Source organism: Homo sapiens, chromosome 13, assembly GCF_000001405.40.
Source record: "Homo sapiens chromosome 13, GRCh38.p14 Primary Assembly".
NCBI lineage: Eukaryota > Metazoa > Chordata > Mammalia > Primates > Hominidae > Homo > Homo sapiens.
Window position 1 is genome coordinate 32,090,573 of NC_000013.11, and position 18,844 is coordinate 32,109,416.

General features: G+C 38.3%; 1 protein-coding gene across 5 annotated transcripts in view; it reads left to right on the forward strand.

The window, feature by feature from the left end:
* The window catches only part of FRY (FRY microtubule binding protein), a 267,352-nt gene that overhangs the window by 58,799 nt on the left and 189,709 nt on the right, over positions 1 to 18,844 (forward strand). For all 5 annotated transcript variants that reach the window (XM_047429999.1, NM_001411012.1, XM_047430000.1 and 2 more), the window contains exon 3: positions 11,391 to 11,444. In XM_047429999.1, coding sequence (XP_047285955.1) covers positions 11,391 to 11,444 — 54 coding nt within the window. The remainder of the gene's footprint in view (positions 1 to 11,390; positions 11,445 to 18,844) is intronic.

Sequence of the window (18,844 nt, forward strand, 5' to 3'; positions counted from 1 at the left end):
CTACTGAGTGAACATAACATGCACAGTTAGAGGGGTATATTGGGACAAATAAAATTGAAAAGACCAACAAAATAGAAAGTTACCCAGAAACAAACAAATGAAGGTTGTATCTTACATTTCTTAGTAGCTGCTGTAGTTCTTTTTTTTTTCTTTTTTAAAGAATGCCTATGAGAGCTGCTCTTTTGTTCAATTAAAATGAAGATTAACTTTGTAGCTGAATTTAAGTGAAGTTTCTCTTCCACTGTTCAAATAATGGATTTGTACTTAGGGTTGTTAAATGTGGCAGAGAAATAGGCTCCACTGAAATGAGCAAAACCACTGCAAATAGGACAGATTATCTCAAGAGATTTTGCTTAAAAAAAAAGTGCCAACATATTCTTCCAGATTTACATCTGCCTTCAGTTTTCATAGCATAGGGTACTGGGCAGCATCTTACCTGATAGTACCTTGGATTTATTTGTGCTGTGTCTTCTGTATCATTCTCTTTTGTTTCTTTTTCCCCAGTATTTTAGGTGAAAGGCAGCATTTATTATTTCGCTTAAGAAAATTCATTTTAATAACTAAATGGAATAAAAGGGGAGAAGTTTTGTCAGGGTTTTGACTATTTCTCATTAGTTATTAGAAACCTACTCAGGATGTCATAGGGTGATGTCCATTTTTACAAACTGAGGCAGGTTATCAAGGGGGCTAAGTCTTCCACCAGAAGTCCAGTGATCCATGCAGTCAGTCAATTGACATGACCAGAGTACATCTTCAAGATTAATCACACCAGTGGGGTGCCGATTACCCCTCATGATGGGGAAGTCATTTGGGGAGTAATGGTCAGTATTCAGAACTGTGAGTCTTCAGGCTCACTCTTTAGATGTTTTTCCAAACTTGAGTCAAAGTTGGCACAAATGAGATCTGATGAGAAAAAGATGTCAGACATGAAAACATTTGGGACCCCGTTATTCTTTGGTTCATACGAAGTAGAGTGCCTGCGGCTGGGTGTAGATAGTTCTGAACAAAACGCTTTGGTGCATTTTCACAGTTGGGTCCACAGCTCTCTACTGTGAAGGGTGCCACCACATGGGGTGAGGAAGCTCACCACTAGGCATCTTCCCGTGTTCTGGTGAAGAAGAGAGATCCTAATGGTGGTAGTTCCATTCTGAAATTCTTTATTAACCACTAAGACCAGACATTTATATTATAAAATTTCACTGCTGCTGATATCAAAACCCTCAACTGATTATGTGTATCCTCATTTTTTCTAAAAGATAGCTGAAGCTTAGAGAAGTTAAGAAAGGGCCATAAGTTGAGAGGACCTAGGATTCAAACTCAGGTCTCTCAGATTTCAAAGCCCACACCCTTAACTGCTACATCCACTGTTGTAATAATTAAAAGACTTTAAAATAGCATCTTAAGCAAGGTTAGTGATATATTTAACTAATTGAATAATCTCATATTAACTCCAATAGCATTGCTGGGTTAAACACATTCATTGAAATCTCTCTAAATGCCCAGATGTCACCACAACGCAGTATATCCATGTAACAAAACTGCACTTCTACCCCTTAAATGTAAACACATTTTTAAAAAAGAAATATCTCTGAGGGCAGTAATACTTTGGATCTTTCTAGATTAGTGAAATCTTACCTGTGTGGAGCACACTTGAAATTTTGGAAGGCCACTAAAAAGTTAGAAGTAGAAAGTTATTTGTATTAAATGACCCCTTGTATAATACCTCAAATAAAACACGTCTTGATATATCAGACTCCCTCTAGACTTCTAAGTGACTGTGGCCTGTCTGTCTGGCCATCTTTCTTTCCTCCTAAAGATTACAGAGATGTATGATATGAAAAGATTGTGAAGTGAAGATGTAATTCGTGTACACCAAAATTGTTTGAAAATTAAGGTAGAGGGCGATGGCTTTCCTCGGCCCTTCTTAGTTAGATGTGGACACAAGGAGTGTTTAAAGTCTGTATTTTTTTAAGCTGAGAGTAGGGAAGATTGGAACTCCTCAGGGTGTGAGAAGCACAAACAGCTGTATTCCTATGGAAATACTGAAACTCCTGCAGAATTCTTCAGCGCAGGAGAAAATTCCCCTTGCGTGGGTTGGGACAGCAGTAGTCTCTGATTCAGAGGGAGAAAACTCAAAGAGAAACCCAGAGTGCGAACTGAGGACTACATCTTACTTCTCACGCAGCAGGTGAGGTATCTCTGAGATTTGGCCACCCAAATCCAGTCTGCAAATGGGGAGAAATGAACAGTGGTCCGTTTTATAGCTCCACCAGGAAAAGATCAAAAAAATTGGAGAATTGCTATTAGAATAAGTTTTGAGAGTATCTTATGTCATCTTTAAAAACGAGACATTGTAAGATTTTAACAGTGATGATAAGTGATGCATCACGACCTCCTGTTTTTAGTTTTTGTTTGTTTGTTTTTTCTAAAGAATTTAAAACGTAAACATATGCAAACAGAATAGCACAATGAACCTAATGGTCATCTTCAACAATTATCAACTCATAGCCAATTCGTTACACACTCCCTGAACCTTCCCCTGATATTACTTGAAGTGAATACTAGAAACAAAATCATCTCATCTCTAAGCATTTCCATATGTATCTCTAAAAAAATTCTTCTCTAAACAAAACTGCAATACTATTACTACATCTAAAAAACTTACAACAATCCCTTAACATCATCAAATCTCCCATGTGTTCAAACTGCCAATTGTATCATGAATGTCATATTTTCTTTTAACAAAATATTTGAGTCAGGATCCAAATAAGGTCCACACATTGCAGTAGACTTTTAAAGAAATCAACAGACTCCCCCTCCATTTCTCTTTTTTTTACCCTCTCAAAACTTATTTATTGAGGAAACGTCTTTCTTTCCCGCTCTTTCCTTCAGTCTGGATGTGGCTGATTACATCTTTTTGGCGTAACGTAATATATTCCTCTAACCCCTGTATTTCCTAAAAATTGGAAATTAGATAGAAAGGCCTGGTTAGATTCAGGTTTGAGCTTGTTGTTTGTTTAGTCAAGACTATTTCATACTGCTTTCTTCCATCAGAAGGGACGTAATGTCTGGGTTTCACTTTTTTTGTGCTGTGAGCAGCCACTGATGTTCAGCGCCAAGTCTCAGTATTTTGGGTTTTCCCAGGGCCCCAGGTCCTCATTTGTTCACTGTCACTCAGTGAGCTGGGGCATCTGGTCAGACCTAAGGTCTTCAGCTTTAGCCAGCTAAGAACTTTCAGGGACCCATCACCCCAAAGTTATGCTTTTTCAGAATGATTTTGTGAAAATAAACATATTCAATTCAATTCATGAAACTTCAGTACATAAATAAAATTGTACCAAAATATAGAACAAAGACAAATTTTTAAAGTATACGAAGTCTTTCTATTCTTACTTGAAGTATACTGTTCTTACTTGATGAATGGCATCATTATTTTGAGCTTCCTTTGCCATAATCAGTTTCCACTTGTTGGTTAAATACCCATTGTGTATTCTGTGCTAATTTTGCTTTACTACTTATTTAATGCTCTTTAAAAACCAGGATATCTGAATGTGTAGATCTTGGATTTCATGCAACTGGTGTGCTGCAGTAGAACTGCAAGCAGAAGCATACCTTTACAGTTCTCTTTTCTTTTCTTTATTTTTTATTTTTATTTTTTGTGGGTACATAGTAGGTGTATATATTTATAGGGTACATGAGATGTTTTGATATAGGCATGCAATGCATAATAATCACATCATGGAGAATGGGTGTCCATCCTCTGAAGCATTATCCTTTGTGTTACAGACAGTTCAGTTACGCTCTTTTAGTTACTTTAAAGTGCACAATTAAATTATTATTCGCTATCATCACCCTGTTGTGTTATCAAATACTAGGTCTTATTCATTCTTTCTAACTTTTTTTTTTACCCATTAACTATCCCCACCTCCCCACTAACCCCCCACTATCCTTCCCAGCCTCTAATAAACATCCTTCTACTCTGTGTCTATGAGTTCAATTGTTTTAATCTTTAGATCCCACAAATAAGTGAGAACATGCAATGTTTATCTTTCTGTGCTTGGCTTACTTCACTTAATGACCTCCAGTTCCATCCATGTTGTTGCAAATGACAGGATCTCATTTCTTTTTTATGGCTGAATAGTACTTCATCGTGTATATGTGTCACATTTTCTTTATCCATTCATCTCTTGATGGACACTTAGGTTGCTTCTAAATCTTGGCTATTGTGCACAGAGCTGCAACAAATGTGGGAGTGCAGATATCTTTTCCAAATACTGATTTCCTCTCAGTATTTGGAAAAGATTGCTGGATCATATGGTAGCTCTATTTCTAGTTTTTTGAGAAACCTCCGAACTGTTCTCCATAGTGGTTGTACTAATTTACATTCCCACCAACCAGTGTATGAAGGTTCCCTTTTCTCCATATGCTTGCCAGCATTTGTTGTTGCCTGTCTTTTGGATATAAGCCATTTTAACTGGGGTGTGATGGTTTCTCACTGTAGTTTTGACTTGCATTTCTCTGATGATCAGTGATGTTGAGCACCTTTCATATTCATGTTTGCCATTTGTATTCTTTTAAGAAATGTCTAGTCAAGTCTTTTGCCCATTTTTTGATCGGATGATTAGATTTTTTCCCATAGGGTTGTTTGAACTCCGTGTATATTTTGGTTCTTAATCCATGTCAGATGCATAGTTTGCAAATATTTTCTCCTGTTCTGTGGATTGTCTCTTCACTTTGTTGATTGTTTCCTTTGCTGTATGGAAGCTTTTTTTTTTTTTTTTTTTTTTTTTTTTGAGACGGAGTCTCACTCTGTCACCCAGGCTGGAGTGCAGTGGCGCAGTCTTGGCTCACTGCAACCTCTGCCTCCTGGGTTCCAGCAATTCACTGCCTCAGCCTCCCAAGTGGCTGGGATTACAGGCGTGCGCCCCCAGCCCAGCTAATTTTGTATTTTTGGTAGAGACGGGATTTCACCATGTTGGTCAGCCTGGTCTCGAACTCCTGACCTCGTGATCCACCCACCTTGGTCTCCCAAAGTGCTGAGATTATAGGCGTGAGCCACCCTGCCTGGCCACTGTGTGGAAGCTTTTTAACTTGATGTGATCCCATTTGTTAATTTTTGCTTGGGTTGCCTGTGCTTGTGGGGTACTACTCAAGAAAATTTGCCCAGACCAATGTCCTGGAGATTTTCCCCAATGTTTTCTTGTACTAATTTCATATTTTGAGGTCTTAGATTTACAGGTCTCTTTTCTGAAGCAGGCCTGAGACTTACGGATCTTTCCCTTGTATTCAGATGGCTCTCTTCTGAGCTGGAGCAAGTTTGCCTCTAACCTTTCCTCTCTTTTTATCTCTCTATCCTTCCTCCCCTCTTTTCTTTCTTCCTCCATCCTTCCTTTCTTCCCTTTTATTCCCTCTTTCCTTCCTTCCATCTTTCTTCCTTCCTTTTTTCCTCCCTTCCCTCCTTCCTGTCTTTATTTCTTCACTCATCCTTTCTTTCTTCCCTCTTTCTTATATTCTTTCCCTTTCTCCCTTTCTTCCTTTCATCTTTTGTTCTCTTTATTTTTTAGCTACTATGGTATTCTGTCCCCTAGGTGTACTCTCAAGTCTCATCTCACTGATAAAATCTATGTTGATGCAAAGATAATCTTGGTAATGTTAAAATGTGAACCTGATTCTCTGTTCGCAAAGCTATCTTTCCAAATGCATACAGTTATAGTCAGCCATTTAACACACCCTGATAACTTCCAACTGTGTACTAGGGGTATGGAGGAGACAGACAAGTTACAACATGGTGGGAATGCTAACAAGAATAGGTGCAAATAATGTACTGTGTGACAACTAACAGGTGACTCTGCTAGGGAAAACTGCGGGGGGGGGCTTCATCTGGGAAATGACATTTAAGCTGAGTCTTCAAAGAATATGATTAAGACAGTATATTTGTGTGCAGGTGCAGTGGCACGCCTGTAATCCTAGCAGTTTGGGAGGCCCAGGTGGGCGGATCACCTGCGGTCAGGGGTTTGAGACCAGCCAGGCCAACATGGTAAAACCCCATCTCTACTAAAAATACAAAAATTAGCCAGGCATGGTGGCACGTGCCTGTAATCCCACCTACTCCAGAGCCTGAGGCTGAGGCTGAGGCAGGAGAATCTCTTGAATGCAGGAGGCAGAGGCGGCAGTGAGCTGAGATCATGCCACTGCCATTCAGCCTGGGTGACAGAGCAAGACTCTGTCTCAAAAAAAAAAAAAAAAAAAAAAAGATAGTATATTTGTGTAAAAATAGTTAAGGAAAACTTAGCAACTTAGCATGTTATTTTATTGCAGCATTGACCCCAAGTTCTTAGCTAATGGACTTGACTTTTATGTATAGCAACAACTTATATATATATATCAACTTTGCTTATTGGAGAAAGTGAGCCTGACAATATGTTGTTTCCTTCATATGTATGCAAAAATGTGTAAGTGTAAAATACCATGTTTATCAGCTTCCCATCTAATTTGTAGTGGGACAAAAATAACTTTTAGGTAGGTATGGGGAGCTTTGGGATGTGGGTGGACACAGTCACCTTTCTTTCCCCGCTGTGGCAGGATCTTCTTTTAGGTAGTAGTGAAAGAGGATTGCCTTCTGTGCTCCCACTATGTGAACTCCTGAGTTGTTGTAGGGGTCTACAGACCCACAGGTGTGCTGAGTTATCATTTGTCTGAGTTTTAAGGTCTCCCATATAGATGTATTCCCATGTTTCTAGTATGTATAAAAGAAGTATTTTTGCTACTCTAGTACAGAACCTTTTTTTCCTTTTTTTTTTTTTTTTTGAGATGGAGTCTTGCTCTGTGGCCCCAGGCTGAGTGCAGTGGCATGATCTTGGCTCACTGCAACCTCCACCTCCTGGTTCAAGCGATTCTCCCACCTCAGCCTCCCTAGTAGCTGGGATTACAGGTGCCCGCCACCACACTCAGCTAATTTTTGTGTTTTTAGTAGAGACAGGGTTTCACCATGTTGGCCAGGCTGGTCTCGAATTCCCAACATCAGGTGATCTGCCCACCTCGGCCTCCCAAAGTCCTGGGATTATAGCCATAAGCCACCGTGCCCGGCCCAGAACCATTTAAAAGTATCATTGGAGCTGTAGTATTAGCTCTCTGTCATTATGTATAGTTTTAAACAATAGATTCTAAAATAAAATTACTATCTTATATGTTTGGAGTGTGTGTGTGTGTTGGTTAAGAAGTTTTTGAACATTTCTGGAACTAAAAGGAATCTTCATAAAATAGATAATGATAATGTTTGAACAACATTTGAATGTACTTAGTGCCACTGATTTCTACACTTTAAAGTGCTAAATCTTCTGCTATGTATATTTTACCACAATAAAGAGTATTTTTAAAAAAATTTAAAACTTAAAACAAGACATATACACAGAAAATAAAGGGATTTTCATATTTGAAAAAACTGGACACCACTGTCCTAGAACTTCTATTAATCTGGCAAATGCGTAGCCAGCACCAAGCGAAATGCACATGGTGGTCTCACCTACAAGCCTGAGGTTTCATCAAGAGCCTTACAAATTCCAACTACTCTGTCTCCATTGCAAAATATACAGGTTCAAAATGTGTATTCATCTAAAATACAGAGAATACTGTGTTTTTATGGGTAAACAAACATTTTCTGTTCAAAGTATACTATTTAGATATAATGAATAAATACTATATGTATTCATCAATCAACAGTGTCTGAAGGTTCACAGCATGTCACATGCTACATATCAGGTGGAATGCTGCATGTCAGGCGAGCCATGCTCTGTCCTGTGACTTTAAGTGTTGAAAGAAACAGAGGTCGCTTCATTTCTGGGGCCTGCCACCTAGCAGGGATGGTGCTCGGTGCCTCACTCATGAATGTGTAATTGCACAAGATGATGACTGTGATGTGACTTTACTCTATGGTAAGGTCAGTGAAAGGACAAATACATGAGGCTTTGCAGGCATGTACAGGGAGAGACACCAGGTGTTAGGGGATGGCTCAGAGAAGGGCTTCCCTGAAGAAGTGATAGTTCAGCTGAGGTTTGAATAATGAACAAGTAGAGACAACACTCATAAGAGGAAATTAACCACATTTCCCCTCTCAGACTCGACTCTTCTCCCCAGTAGTGTGTATCGTGTGTTCTTCAGTGTTCCACCCCGGCATGTAGCATTTGACGCATTGTGAACCCTCAGTCACTGTTGAGTGATGAATAAACATATAGTATCTATTCATTATATCTAGATAGTATACTCTGAACAGAAAATGTTACCCATAAGAACACAGTATTCTTTGTATTTTACATGAATACACATTTTGAACCTGTATATTTTGCAATGGAGACAGAGTAGTTGATTTGTAAGGCTCTTGGTGAAACCTCAGACTTGCAGGATAAGACCACCATGTGCGTTTCTTCAAGAACAAAGACAGTTGGGGCAGGGGTGGGGCTTGTATATGCCTTAGGTAAGATCATCTTTGTGAGTGGAGGAGAGGATTGGAGAAATGATTAGACCCACAGTGAGAGGGTCTATGTGAGCAGGTACATATAAATGGAGTCTTGCTAGGGAACCTGCATTGGCCAAAGTAAAACTTAATATTTTTTGATATATAACTTTTGCATTGTTTCTAATCCTCAACCAAATTTTGGATCAGAATGAACTTCCATAACAAAGACATATATATATGTGTATATATGTATATATATACAGGTTCAAAATGTGTATTCATCTAAAATACAGAGATATATATATATACACACACACATACATACACACACACTAACACATACACACACACAAATAAGGGTAAGTAACATAAAATGCTCTGCTGGAGGCTTAAAAAGCAATACCGCGTGAGTTGAGTCATTTTGGAAAGGGTGAATTAGCAATATATATTATTCTATAATTAAAAATTCAAGTTGTCCGAGTTTTAAAAAGCTCTCTGAAAGAGCACAAAGAAATACGATTTTGAAAACGTATAATACAGTCAGCATAAAAGCTCTATTTCCTTTGTGTGAATGAACATTTCCCATGTAATTAATTTACTTACAATAGATACTTCAAATCCTTCTACCAGATATGTAAAAATTTCTTTCTGAAATGCATTGAAAACAGAAAACTATTCATGATGAATATTTTCCTCAGAAATTTCAGTTTGGAAAACTGAGGTCTTGCTTTGAGTTACATTTTCTGGAGTTCTCAAAATGTCAATAATGTCTGAATTAAACTCTTTGAATTGAAAAAAAAATGCTCTGCTGGAAGATCAGTTAAGGCTTCCTAATGTAAACAAAGATGTAATAATTAAGGTGAATTGTTTCTGTAGTAGACTCTTGTTACTACTGATATTATTTTTGCAGAGAACTAGATGTGGTGCAAGAAAAATCACATGCCCCAAATTCACCAGTTACACCTAGTAAATGTATGATTGGTAGGTTCTCCCTCAGTACCAGTCTAATAAATAAACCTTACTTTGCTTCTAAATCTAGGGACTTGGAATAGTGAATTGCTTTCAACTTTTTATTTTATTTTATTTATTTTTATTTTTTAAGATGGAGTCTTGCTCTGTCACCAGGCTGGAGTGCCGTGGAGCAATCTTGGGTTCAAGTAATTCTCCTGCCTCAGCCTCCCGAGTAGCTGGGATTACGGGCACACACCACCTTGCCCAGCTAATTTTTGTATTTTTAGTAGAGACAGGATTTCACTGTGTTGACCAGGATGGTCTCCATCTCTTGACCTCGTGTTCTGCCCGCCTCGGCCTCCCAAAGTGCTGGGATTACAGACGTGAGCCAATGCACCTGGCCGTGACTTTTTATTATCTGTCAAATCCCAAGATAAATATTAAATTTTTCAAATAAATTTTACGGTTTTTATTATGTTGTTGCCATTGAAGACATAGGACCACTTATAGCATCAGATTCTTTTTATAAAATTGGCAAATAAGTTTATTTATGGTGTTACAACATGATGTTTTGATATATGTATAATGAGTAAATCAAGCTAATTAACATTTCTATCACATTACGTAAATTTTTTTTGTGATGAGAACATTTAAAAATCTACTTTCTCAGCAGTTTTCAAGTATACAATGTATCTTAGTCCATTCAGGCTGCTATAACAAATTACTATAAAATAAATGGCTTATCAACAATAGACATCTACTGCTCAGAGTTTTGGATACCCAGAAGTCCAAGATCAAAGCACGGGGATATTTGGTTGCTGGTGAGTTCCCCCTTTCTTTATAGATGGTGCCTTCCCGCTGCATCTTCACATGGCAGAAGGGGAGAACAAGCTCCTTAGGACCTCTTACTGATCCCACTCAGGAGGGTTCTGCCCTCGTGATTTAATCTCCTCCCAAAGGCCCCACCTCTTAACACCATCACCTTGAAGGTTTCAGCGTATGAATTTTTGGGGGATACATTGAGGCCATAGCACAATACATTATTAACTGCAGTCACCATGCTATACAGTAGCTCTCCAGAACTTATTCTTCCTATCTAAATGAAACTCTGTACTCTTTGATCAACATCTTCCATTTCCTCTCATTCCTCTCTCGCCAGCCCCTGGTAACTACCATTCTAGTCTCTGCTTCCATGAATTTGACTTTTGTTGATTTCAGGTTTATGTGAGATTGTGCAGTATTTGTCTTTCTGTGCCTGGCTTATACACTCAGCATAATAATAATACTCCAGGTTCGTCCATGTTGTCAAAAATAACAGGATTTCCTTCTTTTTTAAGGCTAAATCGTCTTCCATTGTATATATATGTAGCACATTTTCTTTATCCATTCATCCACTGATGGATACTTAGACTGACTCTATATTTTGGTTATTGTGAATAATGCTGCAGTTAACATGAGCATGCAGATATCTTTCAAGATACTGATTTCATTTTCTTTGGATACATACCCAGAAGCTGAATTGCTGGATCATATGGTAGTTCTATTTTTAATTTTTTGAAAATCCTCCATACTTTTTTCCACAGTGGCTCCACTAATTTACATTCCCACTAACAATATACAAGAGTTCTCTTTTCTCTACATGTTTGCCAACATTTATTATCTTTTGTCTTTTTGATAAAAGTCCTTATGACAGGTATGAGGTGATATCTCATTGTAGTTTTGAGTTTCCCTAAGTATCAGATTCTTAATGTTTTGGTCAAAGAGACATGTATTAAGATGAATAGCAAGAGTCGTGGCAGTAATGATCAAACATAACTACTATGGTTACAATACCTAAGGGAGAATACCTCACTCATTTAAAAATTGGTGCCTCCTGATTCCATAATGAGAGAAATGAGTGAGAAAAAATGGAACAATAATGGCATTTCTTTTATACTATTTAAGAGACTCTAATAATTATTCTTGCATATATTCTTTTTCTTTCTAGGAAAAGCCATTGACAAAATCTCTGCAACGTGGAGAAGACCCCCAATTTGATCAGGTATGTGATATATATGTTATATACTAGTTTTCCTTTATTTCAGCATTCACGCAAGGCAAGGTCTGCATGCTCACTATTGTTGTATGGATGAACATCCTCAAAAAGTATATGGGTATGTGGTCTTAAGAACTGTACCCTGCAGTTTTCATGGTTGTGGTTTATAGCTGTTCAGTAAATGTCTATTGGTTAGAATCAAAAAGAACTGGAAAGTATTGGGATAATATGAGTAGGTCTTCAATTGATTATTTCCTAAATCTTTACATATCAGAATTAAAGAAACCAAGAAAAGAGAGTTTAAAGGAAATTCCATTCGTTTAAAAACTTGAGATTCTTCTAAATGAATGATACTATGTGATGATCAGATCTCTGCACTAGAGCTTATTCTTGTTTTCATGCAACATTTTTTTGAAGGCCTACTATTTGCTTGACGCTGTGCTAGGTACTGGTGATACAAAATCTAAGATAACTTTTAGGTCTTCAAGAATTCAGAGTCTTGTGAGAAAGATACTACCTCAAAATAAGTATAAAACAGTATAGGATCTTAGATTCTAATAGAGAAAATAATACATGAACAAAATGATTTAAGACAGAATAAATACAAGGTAAGTCCTTTGAAAATAGGTTAGGACTAGTAAAGAACATTCAACTCTAAACAGTAGGTAATAAACATATGAAATCAGGATCTGATAGATTCTGGTTCAGTAACCAGGAAGGCCCTAGGCATGTTTAAAAATGATGGATAACAGGACATCCAAGGAGGCTGGAGGTATGTTTGTGAAGTTTCCTAAACTTTTGCAGTTAATGACAAAAAGGACATTATGTTCTTCAAAAACCTCAGTTGGTGCCAACGTCAGACACAAAATACTGCTAGATATTCCCTGGCTTGTGGTAGTACGGTGTTTTTATGGTCTAATGAAAACCACACAGGGTGTACACTTTCTGTCGGGCTTTGAAACTGCCTTTAATATGAAATCCAGAGGAAGTCTCCCTGGCTGTACAAATTTAGACTTGTATGATCCAGAAACACCATGACTGTACAGACAAAATCCTTTGTTTTCTATTTTATGAGCTGTTCTGTGAAGGAGACCTCACAGGTTTATGCTCACAGCCAGCCCTGCAACGGTGGCGTGGCTCTGGGCTAGCTCTGTTGCCAGCCAAGCTAGCCATTTTCCAGAAGGCTGGTGAAATGGAAGATGGGCCTCATCTCTTTGTGCCATGGCACTATCTTCTTTTGTCACATTGTCCATTGTTGTTGTCACCTGGCAGGTGCTGAGGTGGTCAGAGACCCTTGGTGAATACGGTATATGATGTTTGGGGTTACCATTTTGGAAATGTGGCAAGTTGTGGCTTTTTAAGAATAAATATCATTCTCAGCAAACTATCACAAGGACAAAAAACCAAACACCGCATGTTCTCACTCATAGGTAGGAATTGAACAATGAGAACACATGGACACAGGAAGGGGAACATCACACACCAGGGCCTGTCGTCGGGTGGAGGGAAGCGGGAGGGATAGCATTAGGAGATATACCTAATGTTAAATGACGAGTTAATGGGTGCAGCACACCAACATGGCACATGTGTATGTATATATGTAACAAACCTGCACGTTGTGCACATGTACCCTAAAACTTAAAGTATAATAAGAAAAAAAAAGAATAAATAGTGCTGGGCGCAGTGGCTCACATCTGTAATTCCAGCACTTTGAGAGGCCGAGGCAGGTGGATCTCCTGAGCCCAAGAGTTCGAGACCAGACTGGGAAACATGGCGAAACCTTGCTGCTATCAAAAATACAAAAGAATTAGCCAGGCATAGTGGCACATGTCTGTGGTCCCAGCTATTCAGGATGCTGAGGTGGGAGGATCACTTGAGGAGGTGGAGGTTGCAATTGAGCCGAGTTCACGCCACTGCACTCAAACCTGGGTAACAGTGAGACCGCATCTCGAAAAAAAAAAATGTACATACTTATCACCTGTCTTTTATTAGCTTTCCACTCTATTTTATATTCTTTGTCTCTTTATCTTATTAAATTATCACTGTCCTTTCTTCAAAAACATTTTTCTCCAGCTTAATGTACCTCTCTTTATCCTCTGAGAAAATCGTTCTAAATTTTAACTTTGCAGATAATAGTAATCCCAAATAACTAGGCTTAAACACAATTTCTTATTTGTTACTCAGCTTTCTATTTCTGAATCTCAGTATTGTGGAAAAGACATGACCTTTGGAATTAGACAAACCTGGGTTTAAATCCCACCTTTGTCACTTAATTAGCTATATCACTTTTAACTTTGCGTCTCCAAGTGTTGTCCATGGATCTGTGTCATCAGCATCACCTGGGAGCTTGCTAGAAATGCAGACTGTTAGCCTGGCCCCAGAACTGCTGCATCCGCCACCTAACAAAACTCCCAGGTGACTCACATGCACATTAACGCTTGAGAAGCCCTGCCCTGTAACATATCTCTATGTATTAAAGACACTTTAAGTGTGAACCAATAGTAAGATGGTCACTAAGAACTTTCAAATAGGTCACATAGGATTGTCCTCTGATCATTACATCATAAACTCACAAATGAACTGTGAGAGAGGACAAGCCACAAAATGTAGTCCAGTTTTAAAGTGATAGCAAGACTTTCAGGCCTGATATGGTTTGGCTGTGTCCCCACCCAAATCTCTCCTCGAATTGTAGCTCCCATAATTCCCACATGTCATGGGAGGGACCCAGTGAGAGGTAATCAAATCATGGGGGGCCAGTCTTCCCCATGCTATTCTCATGATAGTGAATAAATCTCATGAGATTTGATGGTTTTATAAAGAAGAGTTCCCCTGCATATGCTCTCTCTTGCCTGCTGCCATTGTAAGACGTGACTTTGCTCCTCATTCACCCCTGTGCCATGATTGTGCAGCCTCCCAGCCATGCAGAACCGTGAGCCAATTAAACTTCTTTCCTTTATAAATTACCCAGTTTCTGGTATGTCTTTATTAGCAGCGTGAGAACAGACTAATATAAAGCCATAGAGAAACTTGACTAAGGTTGGTCCACCTGTAGATTCAGTGGGGAAAAAGTTGGCAAAGCATAATAGCTTTTGAAGGTGCTTACTGTGGTTCAAATGTGTACCCTCCAAAATTCAGCTGCTGTTAATGTGATAGTATCAAGAGGTAGGGCCTTTAAGTGGTAATTTTCCCATGAGGGCCCCTCCCTTGTGAATGGGGTTAGGTGCTCTTATAAAAGGTCTTGACAGAGGGAGCTCCTCTCTTTTGGTCCTTTCTCCATGTGAGGACACAGTGTTCAAGGAGCCATCTTGGAAGTAGAGACCGAACCTTCACCAGACAGTGAACCTGCTGGTGACTTGATCTTGGACTTCCCAGCCTCCAGAACTGTGATGAGTACATTTTTGTTCTTTATCAATTACCAATCTCAGCAGCACTAAAACAGTGCTCATCTGCTGTTTCAACCAACAAACTATAAGAATTTCAGTTCCATTGGTAAGGCCATGAATATAGCAAGGTCTCTTAGTCCTTTGGCATTAAACATTCAAATTATATAGTTTTATTCCAAACAGTAGGATTTTAATCTGGGTTGCCACAGAAGTCTGTCTATGGGAAAAGAATATGCTGGAGATGCCACCTTGAGTGGTTCAGACTCCATTGCTATAATTGTAGGAGTAGTTGTAATAGTAGAGATAGCATTTATTTAGTACTTATATGTGATAGGTACTATGCTAAGTGCATCCTTTGAACAACATACAGTTGGTTCCTGTTTAAATGATATTTGTATCAAGTTCTTTCTTCTAAATGTCACTGGCATGAACAACAGGGTATATAGAGCTAGGTATCTACTGTTTCACTGACTAATCCTGAATGGCCCTTTTTACTCCTCTACCTAACCAGCCCATGATTCATTTTCTTCTTGCTAGAAATAGAAGCAAAAAAAAATTCATGTAATACTTTATAGTTTACCCAGCCCCTTCTCATATTATCTCACCTGACATCACTCAGTCCTTCCAGCAACTCCAAGAAGGTATTATCTCTATATTAAATATAATATAATAATATTAAATATAATATTAAATTATACTAACATTAAATATAATATATTAATATTAAGTTAAATTATATTAACATTAAATATACTATTGTATTAATATTAATACACTATTATGTTAATATTAAATATATCTATAGGATATATAACATTATATTTACTATGATATTATATTTAATATAGAGATGATAATAATGGTGAGTCTCAGAAGTTTCCCAATATTATATGACTAAAACCTGAAGGAGCCAAGACTGTAATTTATTGTTTCTGACAATACAGCCTGTGCTTTTTACTCCATAATCTTTGTTTCTAAAAACTAGGTTGATGAGAGTTCAGAGGGAAGTTTTCAGCAGGTAAAGGATCTAAAATCTTTTATCAGTTATGATTAGCTTTGGCTACAAATGGCAAATAAAGTAAAATCTTCTTGAGCAAGATTATTTTTTCTTTCTTATGTATGGCTTACATTCTCAAAGTCCAGTATGGCTGCTAGAGCTTGGCCATTGCATCTGTATTCCAGGCAGCCAGAAGGAGAAATGGAAAAAGAATTATAGAAAAACAAAAAACAAAACTTTCCAACATAGCATATACCATTTCTACTTATATCCAATTAGCCAGATGTCAATCACATGGCCACATCTAGCTATAAGAAAGGTGGAGAAATTTTACTTTGGGTGACTATGTGTCCGTCTAAAAATGGGGTATTTTATACCTAAGGAAGAAGAAAAGAAAAAGAAGAAAACCTGTTATTGGGTAACAGCTAGATGTATCCACTAGATATTTAGCCAAAATGCCCAAAGTAGAACTATTTACAGTTCTGTACCTCTTTCTTTCCCACTGTGGGTTTCTCCTCAAATTTGCCAGTTTTCCAGTTTGAACTTAAATATACATATATATTTAGAAGCTAAAACTTCATGTTTTCTTTTATATTTTATATTTTTACACTCATAATTTTATTGGTTTAGTATTTCTAAATTTAACCTAATTACACTCCAACTCTGTAAGAATAAACCTGGAAGGGCCTGGCGTAATGGCTCACGCCTATAATCCCAACACTTTGGGAGGCCGAGGCGGGTGGATCACCCGAGCTCAAGAGTTGGAGACCAGCCTGGCCAACATGGCAAAACCCCATCTCTACTAAAAATACAAAAATTAGCCAGACGTGGTGGCACGTGCCTGTAATCCCAGCTACTTGGGAGGCTGAGGCAGGAGAATCGCTTGAACCTGGGAGGCAGAGGTTGCAGTGAGCTGAGATTGCACCACTGCACTCCAGAGTGGGACTCTGTCTCAAAAATAAAAAATAAAAATAAAGAAGAAACCTGGAAAAAAGATTTTATAAATGACAAGATGTCTAAACAGGATTTTTAAAGCTCAGTGTTAGTAGGAGAAATATACTAGTGAATGCTTTACACATTGGAGAACTAGGAATTTGTGCCCTCATTTCCAGAATTTCACTTTTCACAAACTTCAGGAATATGAGTTTTTTTCCATTGTTATACAGCACCTACCTCCTGGCAACCATGTGCCAAGCATTATGCCAACTCATGGAAACAAACAGGAAGGAAGCATAGTGCCTGCCCTAGAGGCCCCACCACTGGAGTCTCGTTGGAGAGAAAAATAGAACTACAATCAGATAAATGATAACCGCAGACTAGTAAGTAAGCTAAAGCGGGTGTGAGCCTCAGGAGAGCAAACTTCGCCCTGCCCTGAGGAGCCAGGGAGGCCTTCATGGAGCAGGCAGCAGAGGTTCAGAGCAGTATGGGCTATCCCTTCTGGTCCATGCTAGTGATAAAGTCATACCAGTAACAAGAATCAATAAAGGCAGAAGAGAATTCCAACAGCATTTGAAGATGTATATACTATCACTATTTATTTTAAATTACTATAGTAACTGTCAGGGCTTAGCGAGTAAAAGGAACTAAAAATCGTTCTGGTAATAAAGTAATTTAGCAAACACTTACTGTGCATGTGTATATGTATATACATACACACAAAGTTTTATATGAGACAAAGAGATGTAAGAATGTGGTCCCCAGGCATGTGTTTCACATTCCAGGAGCTCCAGATCTGGAAGAGGGTCAGGCAGTGCACAACCAGCCTTGACATAGGCCTGCATGTGTAAGAAGTGCCACATGAATGGTGTGGACAGTAAATATGCTGAGACTTCAGGGACAGAAGACACATGCCTCAGGACCAGTTGCCTAGCTAGAAAATGCCTTCTAGATGAGAACAAGATTTATCAGGTGCCTAAAGCAGTAGAATCGATAGGATTTGCTGAGTGTTGATGATGAGGAAGATAGGAAATTTCAGAAGAAAGGAACATTTTATGCAAAGGTCCTGAACAGAAAAATGACACTATCAGTTATCTTTGAGGAACCTAGAAATTGATCAATTTAGTTGATGCAGAAGGCATGTATTGTTAAAGGATAATCTTCAAAAACAGGCAAAAATATGACTCACATAGAGATATAAAATGAACCTGTATTAAACATTTTATTTAACTTGTTATTAGTGCAGGATGTTACAACCAGTTAAATTCCAAAAAACAGACACATTTATAAATCATCATTGAAATGAATGCAATCAGAGGCAAAACTGGCTTCTTTCATGTGGGGGAGGGAAGTCCACTGAACCTTCACTGGACAGTTTTTCATGTCTATAGACAAGAATTATTTTGCATTGCTATCAGGTATCTACCATTTATACAATTTTAAAATAGCTCAAAGGCATTGACAGGTATAGAGCCCCCATAGACTCAGAATCAGATAACCCCTTGAGAGGTATGCTTTAGTTTTCCATTGTAAACAAACATTTCCTACAGTCTGGCAGAAGTTAAAAAAGAGATCAGGCGGCAGAGGTAGAAAGGGATCAGATTGTGGAAGATCTTAATGCCAGTGGGATGGGGCTGTATGCATACCAGTATCAAGTTGTCAACTTGATGTTAGCCTTAAGGAGACAATGGTCATGAAGGCAGTAATGAAGAGACCTAAGGCATTTGGGGAACATGGCATTGATAAAGATTCTAAGCTAAAGGGGCCTAAACTAAAATGGAGGCAGTGAGACTATAAGAAAGGACGATTATAAGCAAAATTATATAAAAAGGATAAACATTGGTTGAGAAAAGGAGAAACAAAGGATAACTGTAGTTTTAAGCATGATTTGGAGCGATTTCCATTCAATTAAACAAACAATGAGTGCCTGACACATACTAGGATCTGTGCAAGGTGCTGAAGTCACAAAAATGAATAAGACAGAGCCCTGTCCTCCAGGAATTCTCAATCCCAGAAGGAAGACAGTTATCTACACAAATAAAGTGGCAATGTAAACGCTATAATAGAGGTTGTATCAAGTGCTCTAGGAA